We start from the raw sequence: 12,522 nt of genomic DNA on the forward strand, positions 1-12,522 counted from the left end.
TGGGATGGGGTTTTTGTGTGGACATCCTTTTGGTTAATGTTGATACTATTCCTTTTTGTTTGTTAGTTTTCCTTCTAACATTCAGGCCCCTTCAGGCCCCTCTGCTGTAGGTCTGCTCGAGTTTGCTGGAGGTCCACTCCAGACCCTGTTTGCCTGAGTATCACCAGCGGAGGCTGCAGAACAGAAAAGATTGCTGCCTTTTCTTTCTTCTGGAAGCTTCATCCCAGAGGGGCACTCACCAGATGCCAGCTGGAGCTCTCCTGTATGAGATGTCTGTCGATCTCTGCTGGGAGGTGTCTCCCCATGAGGAGGCACATGGGTCAGGTACCTACTTGAGGAGGCAGTCTGTCCCTTAGCATAGCTCGAATGCTGTACTGGGAGATCTGCTGCTGTCTTCAGAGCCAGCAGGCAGGAACGTTTAAGTCTGCTAAAGCTGCGCCCACAGTCCCTGACTGGGGCTGCTGTGTTTCTTTCAGAAATGCCCTGCCCAGAGAGGAAGAATCTAGAGATGCAGTCTGGCTACAGCAGCTTTGCCGAGCTGCAGTGGGCTCCGCCCAGTCTGAACTTCTCAGTGGCTTTGCTTACACTGTGAGGGGAAAACCGCCTACTGAAGCCTCAGTAATGCCCTTCCCCCCACCAAGCTCAAGTGTCCCAGGTTGACTTCAGACTGCTGTGCTGGCAGTGAGAATTTCAAGCCAGTAGATCATAGCTTGCTGGGCTGCATGGGGGTGGGATCCTCTGAGCAAGATCACTTGGCTCCCTGGCTTCAGCACCCCCTTTCCAGGGGAGAGAACGGCTCTGTCTCACTGGTGTTCCAGGTGCTACTGGGGTATGAAAAAAACTCTGGCAGCTAGCTGGGTGTCTGCCCAAATGGCCACCCAGTTTTGTGCTTGAAACCCAGGGCCCTGGTGGTATAGGCACCCAAGGGAATCTCCTGGTCAGTGGGTTGTGAAGACCATGGGAAAAGCATAGTATCTGGGCCAGAATGCACAGTCCAAGCATAGTATCTGGGCTGGAATGCACAGTCCCTCATGGCACAGTCCCTCAGGGCTTCCCTTGGCTAGGGGAGGGAGTTCCCTGACCCCTTGTGCTTCCTGGGTGAGGCGATGCCCCACCCTGCTTTGGCTCGCTGTCCGTGGGCTGCACCCACTGTCTAACCCGTCCCAATGAGATGAACTGGGTACCTCAATTGGAAATGCAGAAATCACCTCCCTGCTGCACTGATCTTGCTGGGAGCTGTGGACTGAAGCTATTCCTATTTGGCCATTTTGCCAGCCAACCCCCACAATCTAATTATTTATTTATTATAAATGTAAAGAATGAATTTACTGGATCAAAGATTATTAACTTTTTTCTTTTTGCAGACATATATATGTGTATATATATGTATATATAAATGTATGATTTTTTCCTCATTATTAAAGCAGTGCTTGTTCATTACAGAACATTTAGAAAATAAAGATACATATAAAGGAGAAGAATATCCCCCTGTGGCAGAGAAGGCTCACTTTACTGTTCACCAAACGTCTTGTTCTTTTTTCCATAATTAGTCTGGGGATAGATTTTGCAGTCCCTACCTCTCACCCACTGCATCTACATGTGACCAATGATGTGTAAACAGGTCACTTTCAAGCCAAGACTTTGAAGTTACTAGTGTACTTTCCTCAAGATGTTTTTCTGTCTGCTGGAAGGAAGCAGTTGATAATTAGGCTCTAGGGGATGTGAGGAACCAGGAGATGGAAGGAGTCTGGATCCCTTAATCACTGCATGGACGAGTGCCCCCTGCTGACTAGGACCGCTGGGTTTCACTGTCACATAAAACTGTTGGGTTGTCACTGGTATCTGGTGATTAATCTTTTAGAAAGAATCATTGTTAACATTTTGGCGTATTTTTTCTCAGTTTTTTCCTGTGCACTTTTTTCTCTTTAGATCGTGGAATAAAATTCTTTAAGGCTATTAATGTGTATTACCAAAATGCTTTTCAAAAATGCTGCTTTAATTTATACTCAAGCAATACTATATGCGAGAATGGCTTGGTCAGCATTGCTTGTTTATAGTTGCTGCATTCTTACAAATATTCTTATAACAGCCTACTTACAAAACCCCTCTAAAATATGTGACAATCTTCTAGATACCTTATTTCTCTTATCAAACTGTAAAGTTTTTGAGATTCGATGTTTGAATGTCCTTCACTATCATAATAGCTTAATCCATATTTGTTAAATGACTTTTAAGCCCAATGTTCAGAATGTTTACCGAAATCTATCTGAACATTGACATAATATAGTCCAGCAAACATTGTGGGCTAATTAGTGTATTTTCAGAACCAATATTTTTTTTTGTCATCCTTTCGAGTTGACATTTAAAGGCTTGCCATGGGTTACATCATTTTAGAGTCAGAGCATTACGCAGTGCTCTGAGCTCATCTGGCTTCCCAGCCTCCAGGGTCACCTCTGCTCTATCCTGTTCCCATTCATTGTTCACTTAATTATTCAACAAATATTTTTTCAGCACCTGATATGTGTCATCACCTAGGTTATGGCTGTGAACAAAACAAAGATTCCTTTCTCCATGGAGCTTACATTTTAGAGGGGGAGATGGATATTAAATAATAAACACAATAAGCAAATTTAGATATTGTATTAGTCTGTTCTTGCTATAAAAGAATACCTAAGTTTGGGATAATTTATAAAAAACAGTGGTTTATTTTGGCTTACGGTTCTGCAGGCTCTACCGAAAGCATGGTGCTGGCATCTGCTCTTGATGAGGGCCTCAGGAAGCTTCCAATCATGGTGGAAGGTGAAGGGGAAGCAGGCACCACATGGCGAGAGTGGGAGCAAGAGTTGGGGGAGGTGTCACACTCTTTTAAACAACCAGATGTTGCATGAACTCAGAGGGAGAACTCAGCACCAAGCCATTCATGAAGGATCCGTCCCCATGACCCAAACCCCTCCCACCAAGCCGCACTCCAACACTGGCGATTACTTTTCAGCTTGAGATTTGGAGGGGACAAACACCCAAACTATATCAGACATGTTAGAAGATATGGAAGAAAAGAGGAAAAGCAGGGTAAGAGGGAGGTTGCAGTTTAAAATACAATTGTGTTAGGGTAAACCTCATCAAGACAGTGACATTTAGGCAAAGACTTGAAGGAGGTAAGGGATATCAAAGAGACAAATCATTCCAAACAAAGCAAACGGTGTGTGAAAAGCCTGAGGCAGGACTGGGTTGGTGTGTTCAGGGAGTGGCAGAGAGGAGGCACTGTGTCTGCCTCAGGGTGAGGGAGGGAGGTCAGGCCCAGGGTGTGAGGCAGTGGAGCACGGGAAGGGGCATTCTAGGGCTTTGGCTCTTGCTCTGAGTGAAATGGGAAGGAGAGGAGTGACATGACCTGATTTAAGTGACATGCTGAGTGCTGTGTTGAGATTAGGCTACAGACAGGCAAGAAGAAAAGCAGAGGCCCAAATGGAAGCCTATTTCAAAATCCAGAAGAGACAACCATGGCTTGGATCAGAATGGTAACAGTGTCTACAGGGAAAGAAGCAGGAGTTTGGATGTATTTGGAATATAGAGTCCATAGGATTTCCCAATAGACTAGATATGGGGGTGGGGGTGGTAAAGGTCTCTACAGTATGGGTAGAGAGACCTTTCTGAAATGTAAGTCTAAATTGTAAATGGCTGAATACCTTGCAATAGCTCCCTTTCATTCACCATGAATAAATGTCAAACAAAACAAATAATTGACAATGTATAATGTAGCCCCATAATGTAGCCCACGACTGGTCTTCTCTCTCACTTTCTTGCATTTTAAACTGATAGGAACATATACTACACTTGGTCTTAGCTAAAAGGCTGAGAAGTGGTGCCTTCTTGCATTTTCTACACCAGCCACAACCAACCACTGACTTCTCACTTTCCATCTCCACACCTTCTACAACGCAGCTCAGGCATTTTTGTTTCCCCCCTGGAAAGTCTTTCCCAACTTTTGGTGTATTAGTTTCCTGTGGCCACTATTACAAATGACCACAAACTTGATGGCTTAAAACACAGGAATGAATTTGGTCACAGGACTGAAGGCCAGAGTCCAAAGTCAGAATGTAGTTCAGGCTGCACACCCTCAGAAGGTTCTGGAGGAGAATCCCTTTCTTGACTGTTTCAGCTTCTGGTGGCTGCCGGCATTCCTTGGTTTGTGGCTGCATCACTCTGATCTCTGCCTCTGTCTTCTCATGGCCGTTTCTACTGTGTGTCTGTATCAAATCTCCCTCTTTCTCTCTCATATAAGGACACTTATGATTGGATTTAGGGCCCATCAGGATAATCTCCTCATGCCAATATCCTTAGCTTAATCACATCTGCAAAGACCCCTTTTCCTTATAAGGTAACATTTACAGGTTCCAGGGATTAGGACCTGATCTGTGGGTGGCCTGAGTCAGCTTGCTATACTTGTTAGAGGCCTTATATCCCCAGCCATAGCACTTGCACACTCAGTTGTAATGACCTATTTCTGAGCATGTGTACACACACAGATATTCCTACTTCTCAAGGTTTCTTAAGGCCAAGGATTACATCTTATGAATAATCACTGCTTTCCCCACCCCAGCAGTTTCTAGGTCACAGCTGATGGTCAGGACACATTGATTGGGTGAATGAATGAAGATTCATGAAGCAGAGTTTGTAACTGCTATGTACTGTTGGGACTTCATAATTTTATGAAAATGAGATCAGGATTGGATTCCTCAGATATCTGCACAGTGGCTTTTCTTTGTTTCTTTCCTTTTCTTTTCATGTCCAGCTGTTGCATTAGAACACCCTTATTAAATGAACCTGTTCCATCTAGGTTTTGGGCCCAGTTATAGTCCTTGATAAACATAGCAATAGTTGGATAAAAGAAGAATACATATTTTCCTTTCACTGGTATATAAAACCTAGAATGCAGAACATTTGTGTTGGCTCTGGGTGCTAAGAAAGTTGATCATGCTGCCTATTGGAAACATAAGATCTCTAAGGGTTATAGGTGGGGAGCAGGGTATCCTGATAATAGTCCTTCCTTTGTTACATGGGTGGTCATGATACTGTGTCAGGAGGTGGGTGGGACTGCCAGGGAGGTACTTGGGAAGTGACTATGACTTTGGCTTATTTGTATACTCTGCCTATTTGGGTTAGGATTTAGCTGGGGCACTGTTTGGCTTAACATGGTGGGACACCATGAGGGACACATAGGTCAATATAATCTCCCAAGATTCTACTTACCAAATGGTTTCTGATTTTATTGCCATTGCCCTAGGGCTTAGTCATACGTGGCTACAAGAAGAGTAGGTCTGGTGGCTGAAAAGCAAATCAGTGTTGTGCTTTTGCAGTGGATTCTGTCTGTCCAGAAAAGGCACACTATTTAATTTCTCATCTTGGAAATTTTCTTCCTATGTTCCCATCATTTTCTTCCTATGTTCCTTTGATTATTGTGAGCCATGTTTGCAGATAGCAGTGACCTACTTTGCTACATTTTTGTAAATCACATTTATTATCAACCTTGATAGGGGGCCAGACGTACTCAAACATTACACTGGTTAAAATCACATGTGCTTTCAGACGCCTATGGGGCAAACTGTGGCACATTTAAAAATTCTTCAGCAAAGTCTGGATAAATGAAATGATAAATCCCCCCTGCTGTTATAGAAATGCAATGATTTATATTAATAGTCTGCCTTAATGCAGAGTCCTCTTGAATGAGTTCTATCTTTTTATTTATATCCTCCTTCCTTGTACTCTAGCAGCTTGTCCCAAATATCCATTAGGTGACCTCAAGGCTAGGGAACATGGATCTCTTTTTTATCGATGAAAAAATTCAAAATGTGTTGACAATGAGGGATTAGATGGAGAAAATGGAGTTAAAAAGGAGAGGGAAAATGACAGAGAGCTATAAGAAAGAGCCCTTTCAGCTGGACACCTTCTAGGTCCCTTTAAACTTGCTGTCACGTCTCATGACATTTCTGCAACAACTCTCACTAGAAACTAGCATTGTGGTCTCTTCTTTGCTGTGTGTGGGTAATTTAAAAGGGCCAGGAAGATCATGAAAGCCTAGCCTCATTCCCATTAGCCTAGCCTCATTCCCATTAGAGGACAGGAGGAGAGTAGGAAGGAGCTGGAGTAGAAACAGAGCTGTCTAGATCCAAGAACACTGAGCCTGGTTTTGCCATCAGTGAGGACCCGCCCTTTGCATACATATTCTCTGGGGCCCTCTCCTGTGACTGCCAACTGGCAGTGCTTATTGTCTTCCCTCGAGTGTCTTTAGAGCCTGTCCCCTTTCATCCCAACAGAAGATGGTCTCTGAGTCCTGGCCAGCCCTGCAGGCTCTTATCTGGCTCCCAGCTCGTGCTCAACCGGTCCCCACTCAGGAGAGCTCTGTGATGGGTTAAAATGAGGACTCTCCCTCAGAGGTGTTTGCATTTTAATAAGAGACACTTAAAATCTAATTCTTACTATTATATTACAAACATTATTATTGTAAATATTACTAAGTATAACATATACACAGCTCAGAGCCCAAATTTTAAGTGTACAGCTTGAATTTTTGCAAAGTAAAACCACAATCTACATCAAGATTAGTATGTTAGCAGCACCCTAGATGCCTTCCTTGTGCCATGTCTGGATCGCCTGGCCTGTTGCCAAAGGTGACTACTATTTTGATTCCTATAATCGCAGATTAGTTTTACCAGTGTGTGAACTTTATAGCACTGGAATCACAAATATATACAGTTGACCCTTGAATAGCTCAGGGGTTAGGGACAGTGACCCTCTACACAGTTGAAAATCCATTTATAACTTTTGACTTTCCGAAAACTTTACCAATAGCCTACTATTTGTCCGAAGTCTTACTGATAACACAAGCAGCCAATAAACATATTTTTGTATATATATATTATATACTGTATTCTTACAATAAAGTAATCTAGAGAAAAGAAATTGTGATTAAGAAATCAAAGAAGAGAAAATATAGTTACTATTTTCATTAGGAGGAAGAGTATCATCATAAAGGTCTTCATCCTTGTCATCTTCACATTGAGCAGGTTGAGAAGGAGGAGGAGGAGGGGTTGGCCTTGCTGTCTGATGGGTGGCAGAGGCTGAAGAGAGTCTGAGTCTAAGTGGACCTGTGCAATTCAAGCCTGTGTTGTTCAAGGCTCAACTGTGCTTTTTTGGATCTTTTTTTTTTTTTTTTTCGCTCAAACTGATGTCTGTTAGAGAGTTATCAAGGTTGTTGCTAGCAGCTGTATTTGCTCTTTTTATTGCTGTATAATATTCCATTTTGGGAAAACTTCATAATTTACAGACAGTCCCCGACCTCAGATGGTTTGGCTTAATGGTTTTTCCACTTTATGACAGCATGAAAGCAATGTGCGTTCAGTAGAAACCATACTTTGGGTACCCATACAACTATTCTGTTTTTTGCTTTCAGTACAGTATTCAATAAATTACATAAGTTATTCAATGTTATTGTAAAATAGGTTTTGTGTTAGGTAGGGGCTAGGCTAAGCTACAGTGTTCAGTAAGGGTAAGTGTATTAAATGCATTTTTGACTGCAATATTTTCAACTTACGATGGTTTAATTGGGACATAGCATTGAAAGTCGAGGAACATCCATATTTATCCATTCTATTGTTGATGAACATTTAAATTGATTTGGGCCACAATGACTCACACCTGTCATCCCGGCACTTTGGGAGGATGAGGTGGGCAGATCACTTGAGGCCAGGAGTTCAAGACCAGACTGGCCAACACGGCAAAACCCCGTCTCTACTAAAAATACAAAAATTAGTTGGACGTGGAGGCGGATGCCTGTAATCCCTGCTACTTAGGAGGCTGAGGCAGGAGAATCACTTGAACCTGGGAGGCGGAGGTTGCAGTGAGCCAAGATCATGCCACTGCACTCCAGCCTGGGTGACAGAGTGAGACTCTGTCTCAAAAAAAAAAAATACTCCTGTGAATATTCTTAAACGTGTTCTCTGATGCATGTAGGAGCAGGATTGCTAGGTCATAGAGTGAACATATATTCAATTGGGTAAATATGGACAAGTTCCAGAGTGGTTCTACCAAGTTACATTCCTACCAGCAGTGTATGAGTCCTAATAACTACATACCTCATCGCCAGTATGTGGCATTGTGGTTTTTTTTTTTTTTTTTTTTTTTTTTTTTTTAGTTTTAGCTATTCCAGTGGGAAGGTAGTAGTGTTTCGTTTGGTTTTAACTCACATTTTCATGGCAACTAGTGCTATTGAGCATCTTTTCATAGACTTATTGGCCTTTTGTTTATTCTCTTTTGTGTAGTGCTTGTTTAATTTGGAATAGATTTCAACAGATGGCCTACTTATCTGTATATCCATGTACATCACATATATATGTGTGTATATAGCTATATCTAGATGATATATAGTCAGATATACATAAATTTCTGGTAAAAATGTAATTGAGATAATTAGTATATACTTGTAATTGATTGAAAATTGGCCCTAATTGTCCACCTTTCCCTGTAACCACAACTTTTGCAATATAATTTGAAACTCCTCCCATCAAAAGTCAGTGTTAGTTCCCTCCAATCTTTGCTGATCTTTGACTTGTTTTGGCTAATTAAGATGCATTGGAAGTGACTGTGTGCCAGTTCTAAGGCCAGGCCTCAAGAGGCCTTGTGTACTTCCTGCTGCTGCTGCCATGGTGACAGGCTGAGGCTAGCCTGTTGGAGACTGAGGAGTGCTGGGGCACCCAGCCGATAGCCAGCACATTCTTACTAAAGAAGAAACATTAACATTTGGTAAATGAACATGGTATCATATTTTAATCTGTATTCCTTTGATTACTAGGAAGATAGAACATTTAAAAATCTATTTAGTGTCCTTTGCTTCTTCATGTCCTTTATACATTTTCCTCTTGGAGAATTCATCTATTTGTAGAGCTTTTTAGGTAAAAAGAATATTAACTCTTTATATTGTATACAGAAAAAATGTTCTCTAGCTTTTTATTTCCTTTTACATTTTATTTATCAAATTTTTATATGCAAAATTTTTAATTTTTTTTTTTTCACATCAGTTGGGTAATGTGCCTACATGGTAACAAGCCTTGAAGGAGGCACATTTCACACATGAATGTGAAAATCCAGTTATCATGCTTACCAACCACAAAAGGATCATTTCAACTTTTTATGTTGTTAAATGTATTAACATTTTTCTTTATAAGTCTTTTTTTTTGGTGCAATGATAAGAAAAATAGTTCCCTCTCCAAAGTTATATAGTTATTTACCCATCATCACCTATTAGGAAACACAAGTATTCAAAGGAATAAATCTCTACTTGCACAACATGGAAATTGATGGGCAATTCAAGAAGATAATGTGGGCATGAAGCCAGTATTAATTAGGATGCTTTCATATGCCAGTGACAGAAACTCTGCCTCAAATTAGTTAAAAATAATGACATTCTTTATTTTACATAAGAAATTCAGAAGTGTGACAGCTTCCAAAATTGGTTAAGTCAGCAGCTCAACAGTTTTTTCCACAAACATGTTTGTTTTGTTTTTTTCTTTCTATCACAATGCCATCCTTGTGCTGTTGCCTTTGTCTTTAGGTGGTTCTTTTCACCGTCACACTGTGGCTGCCAGTGGTCAAAGGGCAGCAGGCTTCCTTGTCCTATCCAGGAAAAAGTGAAGTGTTTCTCCCAGTCATGGAATGTATGCTCCTCCCTTAAGTATAACCGGGTCATCTAAGGTCATGGACTCACCCTTAGACCAATAATTAGAGAATACTAATTAAGAATCATCTTAGATCAATCAGGATTCCCTTTGGGAATGAAAATTAGATGACTAAATATCTAACAGAATTGAGGTTTGGACAGGAAGGAGAAAAGGGAGAACAGATGTTGGACAGGTCACTGAGAGTGTTTGCTCCAGGTCCTTCTGTACATCCTTCAAATTGGGTGCCATTTCCCAATTTGTAGTCTTAAAAAATGTAGCCATTTCCCACATAGTCTAAAACAATTATGGATTTTGGATTCAGCTGCCCCCTGGTATGAATTCAGGCTCTGCCATTTATCATCTGTGGCACGTGATGTAAGTTATTCAATCTCTTTACATTTGTTTCCCCACCTGTAAAATGGAAATAATATCTATTTTGTCTGGCACATAGTAGATCTTCAATAAATTATTATTTTTTATTATTATGGCCATTCATAAATCAGCTCATAGTTCCAGTTTCCATAGCTGGTTTTTGTCTTATGACATTTAAGTCAATTCGTGGTTATGATGCTATATTCTATCTGCTTTGAGGCCAGTTTTAAACACTGAGCTGGCTTTTCTTCGCAACCGTATTTTCACTTGCCCTCCCACTGTCCTTCTATTTCTCTTGAACTTCTATGGGCTTGGGTGTTTCCTGCATTTTATACATGAATGGCATTGATTTTTTTTTTCCAGTGAATCATCTCTGACTTACAGTTCTGAGGGTTAACATATACAAAAAATGATTCTATGGTGAAGTTACCGACTCTCTAACATATTTAAATCATCTTTTGGTGTAATAATAAAAACCAGCTCCCTTTTCCCATTTGAAATTACATACGTAAGCCGAGTTCTTTAATTTATATCACCTCATGCTTTTCATGTGAAGCTGAGTTTCTTTGAAGCATCACCTGTTTGTGCGTGTGTGTGTGTGTGTGCGTGCGTGCTTTCGCCTAGTGTGACACAAGGCAATCTGTCATTCTGGCAGTGAAGAATGAGTCTCATAGATAGCAGGATGGAGAAGCAGAAAGTCTCCTTGTGCTGGCATTCTGGGCTGATGACCTGGGGCCCTTTCACACGTCATAGCAGTCAGCACTAACACTCGGGTCATGACCAAATGAAGTGTCTGCAGCTGGCAGCCGTGATGAGCTGGTCTGGAGCTGAGGCATACCTTTGTTTTTCCTTCCAATGATGGGAGTGACTGCTTCCCGCTTTAACAAAACAATACGTGAGCCATCTGGGCCTCCTTCACATATCCTGAAACACACCACACCCACTGGTCTATGTGGCGATTGTTACCTTTGCAGAAAAGCAACGTGCCCCTCACCAATATTTTCAGAGGCAATTGGATCTTTCTCCCCTCACTGTGTTTTCTGTTTCTTCCTCAAGGGAGGTATCCCATTAGGCCATAAGATTGGAAGGCAGTATAGACTAATGATTAAGCCTACAGGCTTAAACCGGCCTGCCCATGTTACTAGCTATATGGCCTTGTGCAAGTTAGTTAACATGTCTGAGCTTCAGTTTTCCCATCTGCATAAAAAAGAGAACAGTACCCACCACAGAGTGGTGTTGAGAAAATGGCTTAGGGGATCCTGTACATTGTTTAGCATGGCTCCTGGCATGTAAATACCAGGTAAATACTCCACAGGTGGGAGTGTGGATAAGAGTTGGTTTTTTTTTTTTTTTTTCCCTGCCATCGGGGAAATTTATGGAAGATTTACACCTGCTTACTCACTTGGGAATTCTTTTACTGCATTTTGCTCTATTTTTAAGTTGATTTTTGTTCAAACATCCAACTCTGAATACTGTGTTTTGGAGACCAGTCAACATTACTCCATTACTCTGCAGGACGGCATTGATCCTTTCAAAGGCGTTATGAAGAAGCACATCTTCATTGCTTAATAGAGAAAAACAGCCTACCTATTTAGCGAAAAGCCTTATTGTTTATAACTTCCATTTTCCACTCTTGCTTTGTCTTTTAGAGGAAAAGCTAACCTTTTGATTTTGTATCCTGCAGAGTTTTACGAGATCCTATGTGCTAGGTCATCTCTGTAACAGAAAAAGGGCTTAGAGACAAGTCTGGGCAGTGAGTGGGAGGGAAATAGTTGTTCTTCTTTGAGTCTCACTGGACCATGGAAGCCAAGTGTGTATTGGAGGAGGCTGGTTGGCATAATCAAATGGTGTTGACGATCCAGACATAGCCCCCTTGGCCACCACCAGGCAATGTAACTAGGTTTGCCATGTGGCCTGCATAATGGATCTCATCATGTGGGCACTGAGATAAAATTAACTGGTGGAAATCATGCTTGTTTTGTCTCTAAAATGTCCAGAAGGCCTTCAGTTTGGCTGCCTTTTATTTTGCTTGAGCAATAGCTTTGCAGACAGCACATTTCTGAGAGGGCCTGACAAAAGGGGAGAACCTAAGCCAGGGGGAACTCTCCAGCCTGGTGCTGTGGGGTCTGCATCCAGAATGGGGTCCAGCCCTCTGCCTCTCTGTGTGCGCGGGAGGATGTGGCTCAGCAGTGCTGTTGAGCCCCTCACAGGCTGCAGGAATGCATCTAAGAAGAGAAAGTGTTTCCTGCTACATGTCACCCACAGTCTGTGGCCGTGGAGATCTCTCTGTCACGGTCAGGATCTCCTTCCTCCTCCCTCCTAACCCCAAGGCCTGACCACCAAGACGCCACTGTCATGTCTCAGCACCACAGGCCCAGGACTTGAGCGGGAGCTCATGGAAGGCTTTGTGCTTGGGGGAAGCATCTCAAAGTGCTGGACT

At 42.0% G+C, this 12,522-nt stretch overlaps 2 non-coding genes across 2 annotated transcripts, besides 3 other annotated features; both read right to left on the reverse strand.

Moving 5' to 3' along the window:
* Window positions 580–1,081: an enhancer, noted in NCBI's record as "H3K4me1 hESC enhancer chr5:65518471-65518972 (GRCh37/hg19 assembly coordinates)". NCBI's record gives its function as "activates a minimal SCP1, AML or CMV promoter by ChIP-STARR-seq in naive H9 embryonic stem cells {active_cell/tissue: H9 hESC(naive)}" and the evidence as "EXISTENCE:reporter gene assay evidence [ECO:0000049][PMID:30033119]".
* Window positions 1,082–1,581: an enhancer, noted in NCBI's record as "H3K4me1 hESC enhancer chr5:65518973-65519472 (GRCh37/hg19 assembly coordinates)". NCBI's record gives its function as "activates a minimal SCP1, AML or CMV promoter by ChIP-STARR-seq in naive H9 embryonic stem cells {active_cell/tissue: H9 hESC(naive)}" and the evidence as "EXISTENCE:reporter gene assay evidence [ECO:0000049][PMID:30033119]".
* LOC124901219 (U2 spliceosomal RNA) lies at window positions 3,671–3,861 on the reverse strand. Its single transcript, XR_007059178.1, has one exon. It is a non-coding gene; the product is annotated as a U2 spliceosomal RNA (small nuclear RNA).
* A 5,204-nt stretch (window positions 3,862–9,065) lies between these two features.
* LOC124901205 (small nucleolar RNA U13) lies at window positions 9,066–9,169 on the reverse strand. The gene has a single exon (XR_007059169.1). It is a non-coding gene; the product is annotated as a small nucleolar RNA U13 (small nucleolar RNA).
* Window positions 11,695–12,277: an enhancer, noted in NCBI's record as "H3K27ac-H3K4me1 hESC enhancer chr5:65529586-65530168 (GRCh37/hg19 assembly coordinates)". NCBI's record gives its function as "activates a minimal SCP1, AML or CMV promoter by ChIP-STARR-seq in naive H9 embryonic stem cells {active_cell/tissue: H9 hESC(naive)}" and the evidence as "EXISTENCE:reporter gene assay evidence [ECO:0000049][PMID:30033119]".

This window comes from Homo sapiens, chromosome 5, assembly GCF_000001405.40.
Source record: "Homo sapiens chromosome 5, GRCh38.p14 Primary Assembly".
NCBI classification, from domain to species: Eukaryota; Metazoa; Chordata; class Mammalia; order Primates; family Hominidae; genus Homo; species Homo sapiens.